General features: G+C 66.2%; 2 annotated features.

The window, feature by feature from the left end:
- Positions 1,256-1,863: an enhancer, noted in NCBI's record as "H3K27ac-H3K4me1 hESC enhancer chr4:1755043-1755650 (GRCh37/hg19 assembly coordinates)". NCBI's record gives its function as "activates a minimal SCP1, AML or CMV promoter by ChIP-STARR-seq in naive H9 embryonic stem cells {active_cell/tissue: H9 hESC(naive)}" and the evidence as "EXISTENCE:reporter gene assay evidence [ECO:0000049][PMID:30033119]".
- Positions 14,108-14,967: an enhancer, noted in NCBI's record as "H3K27ac-H3K4me1 hESC enhancer chr4:1767895-1768754 (GRCh37/hg19 assembly coordinates)". NCBI's record gives its function as "activates a minimal SCP1, AML or CMV promoter by ChIP-STARR-seq in naive H9 embryonic stem cells {active_cell/tissue: H9 hESC(naive)}" and the evidence as "EXISTENCE:reporter gene assay evidence [ECO:0000049][PMID:30033119]".

Raw genomic sequence — 15,248 nt, forward strand, 5'->3', positions numbered from 1 at the left:
GCCTCTGTGTGGTCAGCACTCTGGACAACCCAGCATGGGTGGGGATGGAGGCGGGCCCTCAGCATTGAGGGACTTCCTGGAGGTGGGGGCTCCTGAGCTGGGCCCCAGCGTGGGAGGGAGCATGGCCAGGCTGGGCCCTCTCCTAGAGGAGGCTGGGAATCCTGGTCAGTGCCCGACCTGCCCCACCTCTCAGCTGTCGAGAGGGTCCACAGTGTTCCCCTGGGAGGCCACACCTGGCCGGAGGGCAGCCCAAGCTGGGCGGATTCAGGCTGGATCTCCCCCGCCCCAACGTGCCCACGGCACAGCTCATTTCCCTCTGCGCCAGGTGCTGGCTCCTCTGCCAGGAACATGAGCTCATTTCACCCTCTCAGGCAGGGTAGGGCAAGGCAGACCCCAACCCACAGGCGACGGGCCTTTCTGCCCCGCCCCAGGTAATCCACTCAGCTGGGGAACGGTGACCTCCCCTCAGCCCAGAGGGGCTCTGATTCGGGAGCCCAGGACAGCGGGCAGGGTCCTGCCGGGCAGCCGGATGGGCACGGTGCAGGCACAGGCTCAGGGGCAGCACAGGACGCCTGCCCCGCCCACCAGCCAGGGGTCAGGCCTCTGGAGATCCCGGGGAGGGCGCCCTCCTCCACATAGGCCTGGGAAGAGGAGGGCGGGCGATGATGGTTGTTGTCGTTGACTCGCTTCTCCCACTTCTCCGAGCTCAGGCGGCAGAGGCCTGCCTCCTCACCAAGCAGGAAGCGCCAGGGGCTCTCCCCTCGGGCTGCCGGCCAGGCCTCCTCGGCATTTCTGGGAACCCCCTCCCCACACGCCCAGAAAGCAGGAAGGCACCTCTGCCCCGAGCCCAGGCTTGTCTGGTCCCAGGTGCCCCTCCTCTGGCTGGGGGCCGCTGGGTGTGGCTGAGCTGCAGGGGTGGGAGAAGGCTTCCTGGAGGAAGTGCCCGGGGCCTCGCGGGGCACCAGCCTGTGGGGACTTGGGGTGCTGGTGGTGAGGCCTCTTGGCAAAGGGGAGGAGGCAGAGGAGATGGGAACCAGGTGGGGGGCTCTGGGGTCCCAGCTGGGGGCAGCACCCCCTTCTCTCCTGCTGTCCCCTTGTCCATGGCCAGGTCCTGGCCTGTCTTCTCACTGAAGTCCCCAAGCCCCCAACCTGAAACCCAGGCCCCTGACTCCACCCGCGAGAGGAGACACTCTCCAGGCCAGCCACCACCCGATGGTGACAATCATAGACCAGTGACCTGGGGCTGCAGGAGGCCCCAGCCCTACCTCCAGCAAAGCCACAGGACCCGCACCCACTCCTGTGGAGACCTCAGAGGGAAGCGTGGCAGGGTCCCTGCCTGCTGGGGGCTGGGGGTGGGGGGTCTTAGAGGACTTCAGATCCCAGGAGCCCCTCCCTGGAAAAACCCACAGAGCAGTGCTGGCCCCACCTGGGAGCCCCGTCAAGCACTTCCTGTTCCCGGGCCCACGTGGAGGAGGGTGCCCTCCCAGGGATCTCCAGAAGCCGGAGACAGGCACCCTCCCCACTTTCCATCTGGGACCTGAAACTCCAGGGTCAGGGGCTCAGCATGTGGGCGGCAGCCCCTGGGCACTGGGACCCAGGTGGGTGCCCTGTCCCGGGACCCGAGTCAGAAGCAGCGAGTCTCCAGCCCGCGAGGGGGCCAGGTGTGGGGCGAGGGGCACCCGGGGGTGGCCTTGGACAGTGGCCTTTGGGGCCTGTGCTGTGGAGCATGCAATGGGGCTGGGGACTCTCAGCCCAGGGTGTTGGCACCAGACTGGCTTGGGGAAGTCATAGTGGGAGCCGCCACCGCCAGAGACCCAGGAAGTGGCCACTGGTCTCTGAGCCTCCACAGATAAGACTGGCCTGAGCCCAGCCGTGGCCACCCCCAGCCGTCACCGGGGCCATTGCCAGGTCAGGCATGCTGCCCCCAGCCCGACACCATGGGGAGTTGTGTGTCCCAGCCACCAGCTTGCTCCTCCCCGGCTGACTGCCCAGCCCCGTGCTCCTCCCCAGGGGGAGCCTGGCACCTGGAGTCCTCTGGACTTCAGGCACTGCTTCTGGCAGGTGGGAGGGGACAGCCAGTGAGGATCTGTCACCAGTCCTGAGGTGGGACAGGCAGCTGGGGAGAGAAAAGTGGCCATCCTGGGGGCATGTGGGGAGGAGGGCTGGCGGAGCCCTGAGCCTACCACCCGGCACCCGGGAGAGCCCAGCCAGGCTCACAGCAGAAGCTGCCATCTCCTTGGGCCATGGAGCTGGGCCGCGTGTCTTTACTGGGGCCGCTTGAGGCCCTGAGACCTGAAGGGAGACAGGGGCTGTGATGGGGAAGCCTTGGACTCAGGCACAAGACAGCTGCTCTCAGCAGGGCTCTCCTGGGCGCCACCGGCCACAACAGGGAGAGGCCTACAGACAGCCCTGTGCTGGGGGGCTGGGAAGGTGGCTGCTGCCTGAGGCCAGGGAGGGGGACCTGAACACTGAAGGCTAAGGCAGGGGTGGAAAGCTCCCTGGAGGAGGTATTCAGGCTGAGAGGCCTCAGAGCAGGTGTGGGCAGCCTCTAGGCAGCAGACGGCCAGGCAGGGCACAGATGGGAGAGATAGCTGCCGCTGGCTGTCCCATGTGTGGCCTGGCCCTGTCCCGGACCCAGCACCTGCCCCACACCTGTCAGAGGGCTCCCCAGAGAGCAGCCACCAGTTCCCAAGGCTGAGGTGTGGTTTTCATCAGCCACTGAAGCCTGAGGCATAGCAGAGGCACTTAGGCTAGGGCAGGGGCCAGGCAGGAGCCAGCCACAGCGTTAGGTAGCCCTCCAGGGCCCCCTTGAACTCCAAATCTGCCCTGGGCCAGGGTGACTGTCAGATGGATCTCAGATGGGTCTTATCGGGGCATTCACCAAGGAGGCTTCCTGGGGGAGGTGGGGCCTGGAGGACAGAGAAGTAGAGGCCACGTTGGCACAGAGCAGGGCGGTCCACACGAGTTGGGCATGTCCTAGGAACTGGGCAAGGGCAGGCGTGGGAACAGGCCGGGTGCCTCCTGGGCAGCTCTGGGTCCAATCCTTGCCCCCCACCATGTAGCAACACCCCTGGAGGACACGGGGCAGTGGGCGCAGCAAAGCCCCACGCACTGGCCCCCACCGCCTCCTCTGTGCCACCAGCTTTCAGGGAAGCCACGAAGGCAGCCTGGGCGGGGGCCGGACGCCCTCCAAGTCCACGGCCCCCATGCCCAATCAGCACGATCCTATTTCATAACCAGCCTGGATTCTGCCCCAGCTGAGGAAGGAGCATAAAACCCAATATATTTTAATTATATCTTTGAGGGCCATGAGCACAATCGTTTCCAGATGGGGGCCCCGCTGAGGGCCTCTCTGCCCGCAGGTTCTGGGCTAGGGGAGGAAGGGAGCACAGGCCACAGCCCACGAGGCCACAGGGCCCCGGACGCGGCTCCCGCCCAGCACTCGCCTCGGGGCCGCTGCCGAGCCGAGGCTGTGATTGGTCATGCTTTCCATCTGCAGATGGGGGAACTGAGGCTTGGGGAAGCCGGCTTGGAGCTGACTTGTCGGGATGGTACCGCCAGAAGCAGAGAGGCTAGTGCCCCAACTTGGAGGCCCTTCCAGACTGGGACATCTGGGGGGTGGCCTCGCCCAGGCCCTAAAACGGGCCAGCCAGCTAGAGACCAGAGTGTCAGGATCTTGGGTCACACGCCCAGGCCCCGGGGGCAGGGGAGGCGCCCAGGCCATGCCGTGCCCATGGATGGGCCAAGCTGCCATGCCCCTGGGATGGTGCCAACTCTAGCCACATTCCAGGCAAGCGGGGGGCACATCCCTGAAGCCACAATGGCCCAGGCTGCCGAGTGGAACCTCAGAGCTGGACAGGGCCCCCAACACCCATGCTTCAGCTCCATCCAGGCTGGGAAAGTGCCTAGACACCCCAGAGCCTTTTTCAGCCAGAGTGAAAACTGGGCCAGGCAGGGACCCAGTGGGGCTTCCCCGACCTGTTCAGGGACAACCTGGCCCCTGGCGGGGTGTGATACAGGCACAGCAATGGCGGCCCCTGGCTCCCACCCACAGCCAGGCAGAGAGATGGAAGGTCGCTGGGCGGTCAGCGATGGGGCCTTCGGAAGTCTGCTGGCTGATCAGATTTGCCCACTCGGCCTTCCCGGCTCTTCCTGTGGCGGAGGCAGGCCTGGCGTCTGCCCGGAACCCCTCCCTTCCCCAGCAAAGCTGCACCCCCACCCCAGGAGGGGCTGATGACTGAGCTCGAGTCCTGTGGAGGCAGGACAGCCACAGGACCCTGCCTGCGTGAGGACCCCGCATGGGTGGCGCAGCAAAGGCTGAGAGGGGCCGAGGCTCCATTCCTGCCTCTGTGCCAGCCTGAGCGGGAGCTCTGGCCCTGACCTGGGATAGAGGCGCCTGGGCATGGGCTCGGGGCTATGGAGTCCGCACCCCAGGCAGCCCCAGCTCACCCGCTGCCTGCCTCAGTGCCCCCACAATAAAATGGGCATACAGCAGAACAGAGGCCTGGCGACTGTACGGCGCGCCTAGGACAGGAGCCATGCCCACCGGGCACTGAGACCCTGCTCTCTCTCTCCTGACCCTGCTGTGGGTGGGGGATGATCCACCGCAAACCCCCACCTCTTGCTGCAGCCAAAGACCTAGAGGTGGCCCCAGCCCTGGCCTTGCTCCTTGCAATCCCCCACAGGGGCTGAAGGGATGAGAAGAACTTGGCCCTGGGGAAAGCCCGGCCCCCATGGCCAGTGTGGGAGCACCGGCGTGCCCCAGGTCCTGGCCAGGCTGTAGCCCGGCCCCCAAGGCCAGTGTGGGAGCACCGGGGTGCCCCAGGTCCTGGCCAGGCTGTAGCCCGGCCCCCATGGCCAGTGTGGGAGCACCGGGGTGCCCCAGGTCCTGGCCAGGCTGTAGCCCGGCCCCCATGGCCAGTGTGGGAGCACCGGGGTGCCCCAGGTCCTGGCCAGGCTGTCCAGGAAGGAGTCTGAGGGCCGGGCCGGTGGGCCAGTGGTGTCTATGCCATCCTCCTTCCTCTTGGTGCCCGCCTGGTGACCCCAAGATGGCCCAAGCGAGTGGAGGTGGGCAGGGGCAAGGACCTGCGATGCCCTGGGCTCCGTGCCTCTGGCCCAGGGGCACCCACAGCAGACGTGACCTCATCCTTGGGCCTCAGCCCGCTTGGAGCGGGAGGGGTGGGGGTGCCTACAGGGCCCCTTGAGGCAGGTGTGGGTGCTCATTCACACCGGGCTCCCCAGGGCTGGTGACCAGCTCCGTCCCACCAGAGATGGCCCCCAGGGCTGCTCCAGGCAGGGGGAGGTGGCAGCAGCACACTGCCTGTGCCAGGACCCTGGAGGCTGGGCTCTGGCTGTGGGTGCACCCCTGGGGCCCCAAAAATCACTAATGCCAGCGGCACAGGCAATGATGCAGTGGATCCCCTTGATGGGTCCCCCTCCCACACCTGGCCGCCTGCCCTTGGGGTTTCATTTATGGAAGGGCTCAGAAAAGCCCACACACCTTCCAGTGCCAGCTCCCAGGATTCAGGGAGATGCTGACTTCCATTTCAACTCCCAGCTCCACGTCCACGCCTCCCACCTGCCCACCCACTTCCCATCCACCCATCTCCCTCCAGCTCCATACGTCCACCCTTTCTATGCCCCCATAATCCCCCCATCCCCCCACCCAACCCCCACCCCCACCCTGTCTCCACTCCTACCTCATCCCCACCCCCACCCCAGCCCTCCCCCTTCTCCTGCCTTGAGCATGAGCATTCTGCCCTCTGCACACCAAGCGGCCACCCACAGACCTCTCGACTCCTCCAGGCCTCCGGCCACCGCCTCGTCACCTCGGTACCCCTCCCACCCGCCACTGACCCCCCCATCCTCCAGGGCCAGCCGAGTGCCCTTCCCCCAGGCACGCGGCCCATCAGCCCCAAGTCCTGCACCACAGTCCCCGCCCCATTCTGTCACTCCTCCTGTCCGTCAGTCCGTCCGTCCATCAGTAAACATTTACTGGCCACGTTCATTGTCCCAGGCATTTGGGGATGCAGCTGCATTCTCACCAAGCTCCCAGTCTGCCCCGGGGAGAAGGAAATACAGGCCAGGCAGCAGCTAGTGGTGATGGGCCTTCTGATGAAAGCGGGGGTGATGTGGGGGGCAGGAGGGTGACAGGAAAGAGCCAGTGGGGACAGCGGGCAGCAAGGCGAGAGGGCAGAAGGCTTGAGGGAGCCCAGTTGGACCTCGTGGGCACCTGCCGCGTGCTGTGCTGGTCTGAGAGCCAGAAGAGGAAGCTGAGGGCCCACTTGGGGCCACTGGGCATGGGCTGTGGGAGGGAACAGCGCTCCCATCTGTTGGGACCTGACGGGTCTCAGAGGACACTGCGTTCCCTGCCAGAAACCATCCCTGGGGCAGGGAGGGTAAGGCAGGCCCCGGCTGGAACGGGGCGGGGAGGGGAGCGGCACAGCCCCAGGTGCCTCAGCCTCAGCCTAGGGCTCTGGGGACGCCCAACCCGGACAGGCCTGGGCAGGTGGATGGAGGTGGGCTGATATCTTCATGACACCAGCAACTGCCCGGCTGATGCCCGCCACTACCTGGTGGCATCTGGCCACAGTGAGCACCGCAGAGCTCCAGCCATCCTGCATAGCTGCCTCAGCCCTGAGTCCAGAGCCACCATCAGGGAGGCCTCTCCTGTCTCGTGGTGAAGGGAGACTCAGTGTGACCTCGGTACGCCAGCCCCTTCCCTGCACGTCCCAAAGCCACTGGCTCAGAAAGACCCTCCCTTCGGCTGCCAGGGCCCTGCCCGAGTGTGGGGCACTCCCAGGCCCTGGGCCAGCGGAAGCAGTTCCGGGAGACTGCGCAGGCCAGGAAAGCCCAGGTGGCCTGGGAGGTCAGCAGCCACTGGCAGGGTCCACCCCAGTCCACCCCAGGCCAGCCCTGTGCCCTCCTTTGCTGGGGTCTGGGCCGCAGGATACACGGTGGGGTGTGAGGCGGCGGCAGGTGAGGAGGGTCTCTTTCTTGGCCTCCCTGTAGCCCCGGTCAGCTGAAATAGAACTGGAGAAACAAGAAGCTTGGCCGGGGCCCCCGGCAAGCAAGGGGGAGCGGCAGGCTCCTGGAGTGGGAAGTGGGGTCCTGGTGAGGTTCTGGGCCCACCACTCCATCCCCCTCCCTCTGGGTAGGCACAGAGTTGGGTGCGGGGGGGCGGGGAGAAGGCCCCTCCTTCCCTGGCACCCGCTCTGTTTGTCTCATTGGTGCCTACCTGTCCCCCAGGCCACAGGGCAGCTCACTGGGGAGAAGAGGGACCCAGGATCCTGAGGGGGTCAGGCCAGTTTCCACCCACCAGTCAGGCTCCCCAGAGCTGACCTCGGGCTGGCGCCCAGGGCCTACAGAGTCCCCTGCGCTTTCCCTGAGAAAGAAGGACCTGCCCAGGCTCTCAACAGCCCACCCGGGCCCTTCTGGGCTGGGTTTCCAGGGCCCTTGTCCCACCCTTCCCCAGCTCCCAGAATGCTGGCCAGATAGACTGTGACCGTGTGACCAAAGCAAAGACAAACTGTGGCCGCCCCGGGCCCTGATTAGCAACAAATCCCAGGAAGTTTCCGCCCCACTTTCCGCCCCATCCTGAAACCCCATCTCCGCAGCCCGACAGCTGTAATCCCACCAGTCACCCTTCGGGGCCGGGCCTGGGCCTCCAGCCCCACTGCACCTCAGCCTTCCCAGCTGGAGGGGGTCATGCCCCCACTTTAGGGACGAGTTGACCGAGGGGCCAGGAGCTGACCCCGCCCACGGAGGCCTCTCCACCTGGCGTTTGCTCTAACATGGGTGGAGACTCCCCACGGCTCCCAGCTTGGGAAGCCCTTCTGTGGCTGGGGCCGGAGCCCACGAACGCCTGGTGGCGCCCATGGGCCTGGTGGTAGGGGACTGTGAGAGAGCATGTGTTTCTTGAGGCCGCTCAGGTGCCCAGACAGCCTCCCAACTCTGGTGCCCCCAGGGTCCCCACCAAACTGGAATCTTCCCTCCACTCCCAGGAGGTGGGGCAGGCAGAGCCAGCCCAGCAGAGGCCCCCGGAAGCGTCAGGAACAACAGGAAAGGCAGCCGGGGCACAGGGACTTCCCACACTCGTAAGCAGGGTGACCCTGCACCCACCCCAGCTGGCTCTCCTTAGCCCTCCAGCTCCGGGAGCTCAGGGTAGGAGCAGGTAGGAGGGGCTGCAGGCATCAGCCTCAGGCCTAGGGGAAGTGAGATGACAGTCGACAGTCGGATGCTTCTCCAGCTAAGTGGTCCCTAGAACAGACGGGTACACTGAGGCAAAGTGTCCTGGGAGGGGCGAGAGGGTGACAGGCCCTGGGAGGACATTGTGGGCATCTGGTCAGTAGAGGCCACAGCAGGGTAGAGGGAGGCAGATACCCCGACCATGGCGGGGTGGACCGACCCCTGCCGCAGGGCCAGGGGGCCAGGCTGATGGCAGTAGCCCAGGGGTGTGGGCAGGCAAAGCTCTCACCCATGGTTGGTTGGGCTGGGTGCATCGGGCAGATGACTTAATCAACAGGCGGGCTTTGTCCCTGGACACCCGCCCCCTGCCCGGATCCTCCGCCTGGTCACACGCCTCCCACCCCCACCCGGCTCCTAGCAGCCTGCAGCCGAGCACGAGGAATCGGGGACGGCGGGGGGCTCTCCACCCTCGCAGGGCCTGGGAACGGCTCAGGGGTGGCCGTGGGGTGCGGCCAGGGCGGATCTGTCCTGGGCTGGGCTCAGGGGATGCCCGCCCAGCCTGGCCCGTGCCAGCCCCCAAGGAAGGCATCCTGGGAGTGGCTCCAGGCTGGCATCCTGGCAGAGGAGGCGCCAAGGCTGGGGGCCAGGGGGCCGGGGGCTTTGTATGCTGCAGGCCCCCTTCTCTTCCTGGGGCCCCCACCCTCCCTGATCCTGTCAGAGCCTTAGAAAGTGAGACAAAGGCTCCGGGAGGCCCCGGGAGGGCCAGGACACAGGCAGGAGATGGAGTTATAATGACCGAGCTATAATGGTGGGAGGGGAGGCGGCACGTTAACCCTGTCGGTCCCTTGCACTGGGCCCACCTGACCTCCAGCCGGGCCCCCTCCCACCATGCAGCTGCCCCTCCCCCGCCCCCATCTCCTGTCACTGCCCCCGGAGACACTGGGAACAAAGTGAAAATCTTGCTCCAAAGAGATGCAAGCAAAGGTGTTCCGGGCCCCCGGCACTCCACCTGGGCAGCCGGTCACCCATTCCTCTGTGAGGTGCCGGGCAGGGTGCTGGCTAGACACTGCCCATGCAACCCGGTGCGCCTTGTCCACCCTGTCCGCCCTGCCTGCCCTGCCTGCCCCGTGTGCCCCACCCACCCCGTGCACCCTGTGCACCCCGTCCACCTCATCTACCCCGTGCACCCCGACCACCCCGTCCACCCCGCCCACCCCGCCCACCCCGCCCACCCCGCGCGCCCCACCCAGCCGGCGCACCCCGTCCACCCCGTCCACCCCGTCCACCCAGCCCACCCCGTCCACCCCATCGGCCCCATCCACCCCGTGCACCCTGTCTACCCCATCTACCGTCACTTCCCTCTGCACTCTCAACTTTCCCGACTCCTGACCTTGGAGGAGCTGAACTCCGGCCTGGCCAGCTGTCTGCAGTGTGGGACCCTGTGCTCCTCCACGTGGGAGCCCCAGGGTGCCCGCTCAGTGGGGATCTGTACCCTGCCCCTCACAGAGATCTACCATGCAGAGGTGGGGGGAGCTTGGAGCCTTGGGGGCCACAGAACTGAGGCGGAGACCCTCCAGACCCCGCCACCTGCTCATTCCCTCATGTTCAGGGGCAGCCTAGGCCCCCAGCGGGCCTCCTGCCCACCTCCGTTTCCTTACCTCTGACTGGCTGGGCATGGGCTGGGATCTCAGGCTCCTTGGCACAAGTGGTTGACCCCGGGTCTGGAGCTGGGTGGCACAGGATGGAGGGTGTGGCATCTTGAGTGAAAGAAACCCTGAGGGAGAACCCCTGCCCCCCGACCCTCCACCCCTCACCCTCCCTCAAGACCTCAGACTTGCGTGGGACCTCGGCAGGCCCCTGGGTCCATTGAGCCTTGTTTGGTGGAGGGGCCAGACGTCCAGGGACCCAGTGTAGAAATCAGGAGTAGGTACAGGGGCCCAGTATGGAAATCAAGAAGCAGGTAGAAGGGTCCAGTCAGAGCCCCTGGGCCATCCACAGATGGCACTCAAGGGCCGGGGTCTGGAGGTGAACAGCCCCTACCAGGAGGCAAGCAGGCTGGGCCTGTCCATGCTGGGGAGACTGGGGGAGTGCCAGCCCTCACCCCAGGAAGCTCACAGCAGCCTTCAAGGTCAATGCCAAAGAGATGGAGGCCCAGAGAAGGCTCCTGCACTTGCCCCCGAGGTTCCAGGCTCCTGTTCAGGACCTGCTTCCTCTGCCTGCACCCCCCGACCCCGGCAGGCTCGGCACTGCGCAGGAGAGGTGCAGACTCCAGGACACAAGAGGTCCCCTTACCACGAGTCAGGGCAGAGGGCAGAAGGCAGGGCTTCTCTGTTCCTCTGCCCCTTCCCTTGGGAGCCCAAGCCAGGGAGACAGGAGGGTGTGGAACAGAGGGCAGTGTGCCTCACTGAGACCTGCAGGGGTCTAAACCTGGCAGAAGGGGAGCCAGGGCGGCACAGACACTGAGTGAGTGAGATGCGTGTGTCTGGTGCGAGGTGTGCATGTGAGTGAGGGCAGCCGTGTGTGTGCCCGCCTGGGAGCCCGTGAGCCTGTGAAAACCCACACAGAGTGGGTGGGGCCAGGGGCTGCCCGGGTGGACCTCTGAGGAATGCCGGCACTGAGGCCTGCACCAGGAGCGACAGCCTCTCCGAAAGGTCACTGCAGGCCATAGCACATGCCGTCCGGGTCCCCGAGCTGTGGGTCACTAGGACCCCCAACCTCCATCCTCTAGCGGAGGTCTCTCCCACTCCTAAGAGGCCTGGTCCTGGTTGGAGCACCTCACCCCTTCCCCACGCCCCCTCGGGTGGGGGTCCCGGGGTGGGGGTCCCAGGGTGGGGGTGACCTTAACAGGGGTCCCACACGCACTGGCCACTCAAAGAGCACGCAAGCTGCCATTCGGAGGGCAGAGATGCCTGGCCTGAAGTGCACATGCCTCCACCTGGGATCCCCAGACAGCACCATGTTTCCTGGGCCCTGACTCAAGCCATCGTGTCCTCGGAGGAAACCTGGGTCCCACTGAACAGAGAGAGAAACTCCAGCGCCTCTGCCTCGGCCTCGGTCTCCTCACCTGTGGACGGGCGGCCGGGCTGGGGAGGGGCCGGGCCATGGGGGTTGGAGAGCGGCCGCCGCCAAGGCACAAACGACACAGCTTGTCTTCACCCACCGGGTGCCGCGGGGCTTCCAAACGCCTGCATGAGGAACGTGGCCGGGCGGGAGCCTGCGGTGGCCGTGAATGGAGCCTTGAGCCGCCCCGGCCCCGGGGCCGGGATAAAGGGCCCCAGTCATGCCGCCCTGGCCCGGGCAAGTGTGCTAAGTTGAGGCTATAAATTACCCGCGGCCAGGCCAGCGCCACCGCAGGGCGGGCGGGCGGGGCGCCGGGAGGGGGCTCTGGCTCTGTAAATCGGCCCTTTCACCACTGGAGGCCGCGCACGAAAGAAAAACTTTGTTTTATTAAAGCAACATCAGGGCTGTGGCCGCCGGCCGAGAGGCGCCGGCAGCGAGGCTGGGCAGGCGAGGGCTCCTGCCGCACCCGGCTCGGAGAAAGGCCCCTTCAGGAATGGCTGTCTCTGGCCTCTGGCCGCGGGGCCGGGCCGGGGGCTCGGTGCTGCACCCCCGACCCACAGGCCCACCCTGACCCTGGCCCCAGAGCCCTCTGGGCAGCCTCGCCCTTGCCCCCAGACCCCACAGTACGAGCTGGCCTGTGCTCATCCAGGAGGTCGTGGCCTGGAGCGGGCGTCCGGGCCATCCACCTCCACAGTCAAGAGCCAAGTCGTCCCTTCAGGGGCTGGGCTGGGTGCCAGGATGGTTGGGGGCAGAGGAGGAGAAAGAAGAGAGACCCAGGCCCAGGGCTTGCCCCGCTGGGCTCAGGCCCCGCTCAGCAGAGCAGGCATTCGGCTCTGGGGGACTGCAAACACAGGCCAGCCCTCAGGTGCAGCCCTGGAGAACGGCGAGTCGGAAGGAGGGGCGTGGGTCTGGAGCTGCCTACGACAATATTTAGACAATTTTTTTTTCTTTGAGATGGAGTTTTGCTCTTGTTGCCCAGGCTGGAGTGCAATGGCACAATCTCAGCTCACCACAACCTCCGCCTCCTGGGTTCAAGTAATTCTCCTGCCTCAGCCTCCCAAGTAGCTGGGATTATGGGCATGCGCCACCATGCCCAGCTAATTTTGTATTTTTAGTAGAGACAGCGTTTCTCCATGTTAACAGGTCAGCCTGGTCTTGAACTCCCAACCTCAGGTGATCCGCCCACCTCAGCCTCCCAAAGTGCTGGGATTATAGGTGTAAGCCACTGCGCCCGGCCAATATTTAGACAATTTAAGTGAAACTGAATGAAAACCAGGCAGCTGGCGTCTGTCCCTCTCATGGCCATAGGCGATAGGGCCCTGCAGACCCCAAGGGCAGGTGATTGAGACCTGGGGGCCGAGTGTGAGCCTGGCTGGCCTCCTGAGCCTGCTCCCACCCACATCTTGCCCCCACAGGGGATCCCCCACCCTCTGTTCCTGTTCCTGTAGGGCCTCCCTGAGCACGGCCCTCTGCCCTTGAACCCCCAGCCTCCTTAGAGCCTCCCCTGCACCACAGACCATGGTGGGGGCTGCGGCCTGAGGCTGGTACCGCCCCGTAAGGTGTCCATCCTCCCCTCCCTCCTCCTCTCCTCGGGGCAGGCCTGAGCCCCCACCTCCAGCCCTGCGAGGGGTGCGGGCAAGATGGGTGCCTGGCGCCAGAGCAGGGGCCAGCAGGACATGATGGCCTGGGACTCAGGTACTGAGGCAGGTGGCGGGGGGCTGCTATGGGGCTGGGGGCATCTTCTGACTTCTCCTTGGAAGGTGTGGCTGGCTTTGGGCCCAGACCCCTCAGCTGAGAATGGGGCTGGGCGGTCAGGGCTGGGTTCACATTGTGTGTCTCTGGGCGCCGAAACCCACCTCTCTCCAGAGACCCCTCTGCCTGCCTCTCCCCACTGGGGCTGCCTTGTCCCTGGCCCCAGTGCAGCTTGCAGCTAGGACACTCCTGTCCCCCAGCCCTGGCTCTCAGATGAGTGGAGTCTCCATGGGGCACAAAGAGTTGGGTGGCACTGAAGCCTGGTGCAGGGAGGGGCCTGCCAGGGACTGGAACTCGATGTTTGGGGACAGTTTCTTGTCCCCAGGGTCCCTGGGCCACAAAAAGCTGCAGGGTCAATCCAGAGACCCCAAAGCCCTGGCCTCCTGCCCAGCCCACTTCACACTGCCACCCCTGCATCCCTGGGGTCTGCTGGGTGCTTCTACCTCCTCCTCCATCCTAGCAAGCTCCTATTCACCCCTGAAGACCCACGCAGAGGAAGCTCCCCTGACTCAGGCTAGCCTCGTCCCCTGCCCTCTGCTCAGGCTTGTCCCCTGCCCTCTGCTCCTGGGAGATGGCAGTGGGCAGGCGTTCTGCAGGCAAAGCCCATGGCGGGCCTGGGTGTGGACCCCCCTCTGTCCAGGCCTCCCTAGAGGAGCAAGCCCTGCACCACCTCAGCCCTGGGCTCCACCTCAGCCCTGTTGTGTCACGTGACTGCGCCCTGGAGGGATACTCAGAGGGGTGAAGATGAGCAAGGCACCTGCATTCCAGCAACGGAGCAGGCACAGAGTGGGGAGAAGGGAGGAGGGAGGAGGGAGGAGGGCGTGGAGCACAGGGCACTAGTGCTGCAGCCTAGTGGGCACCAGGGAGCTTTGGTTCTGACCTGGAGGTCACAGGAGCCACTGCCGGTGTGGGGTGGGGCAGGATGTGGGGGATCCCCTGGCTGCCGTGGGCACAGGGGACAGGAGGCCACCCAGGACAGCAAGGTCCCTGTGGGGACTGGGGCTGGGGTCAAACGTGAGGAGGGTGTAATTTCAGGCCTTTGTAGGTGGCCTTGGGCCTAGGTGCAGGCTCACACCTTCCCAACCTCCTGCCCTGCCCTGGGGCCCCTCCCTGACATGGTGGGCAGAGCCCAGGCTGGCTGGGGTGCCAGGTCCCACCAGGGTATTAGGGGGCAGGGCCTGGGAGGCCAGTACCCCTGGAATCACTCAGCTCTGGGCCTGCCACCCAGGAGATGAAAGGCCCTGCCCCTCTCAGGGCCCACATGCCCTTTGAAGGCTGTGGGAATGCCCGCAGGGCAGGCGAGTGCCAGGCGTGAGGAGGCTGCTGGGGCCATGGCGGAGGCCCAGAGGATGGCCCAGGCCTGCAACGCCTCCTGCTGAGTCCCGGCAACCCTCCCAAGGCCACATTGTCATGCACTTCCCAGCTCTGAGGTGCCAGTCGAGGAGGGAGGGGAGGGGCAGGGACGTGCCCCCCCTTCTAGGCCTGGGACCCTGTCTTCCATCTGGACTGCCTGTAGAGGCAGGGGCCCTGTGGGCGGCTGCGAAAGCAGGGTTCACCCACCCAGTTCGGGCCTTAGTGACCCGCGCTCAGCCACAGCCACAGGGCCCTTCAGCAGGTCGCCCGAGGCCCCTCCCCCACCTCCTCTCCAGTCCAGGGTCCGAGGACGGGTCTCCGGCCATCCCCGCCTCAGGGGTCAGCACAGAAGCTCCAGCCAGAGCCTGGTCCCTGCCCTCTTCAGACCAGGGCTGTAGGGGGATGTCCTGCCACTGGCAGGGGTCGGCCGCCTGCCCTCACCCTCCTGGCTCCGGCGGGCGCGGCTGGAATGTTTGCCTTTGCTGTTTGCCGGGGGAAGGGGGGGTGGGGTGAGCGCGGCCCCCCGGGGAGCCCTGTCCCGTCCAGCTGGGTCCGCGAGGCCAGTCGGCCGTGGAGGGGACCCTCCGGCTCCGACGGGGAGTTCCAGGGCCGGCGGTGGCACAAAGGGTGCTTCCTGCCCGCGGTGGTCCCTCGTCTGCTCCGGCCCCTGCGGCCCCGACTGGGAGACCCAAGCCCAGAGGCGCGCCCGGCCCCACCGCCCCCTCCGCCCGCCCGCCTCCGGGGCTCCCCGCGCGGCTCGGAGATTATGCAAATCCCCGGCGGCTCCTTAATTAAATCCCTAACGAGGCGCTGGGGCCGGGCCAGGGGCGGCGCTGAAAGCCGGGGTCACGCTCCAGAGGGGCCCGGCCCGTCTGCGACCAGGGGGCCCCCGCGCC

Source organism: Homo sapiens, chromosome 4, assembly GCF_000001405.40.
Source record: "Homo sapiens chromosome 4, GRCh38.p14 Primary Assembly".
NCBI lineage: Eukaryota > Metazoa > Chordata > Mammalia > Primates > Hominidae > Homo > Homo sapiens.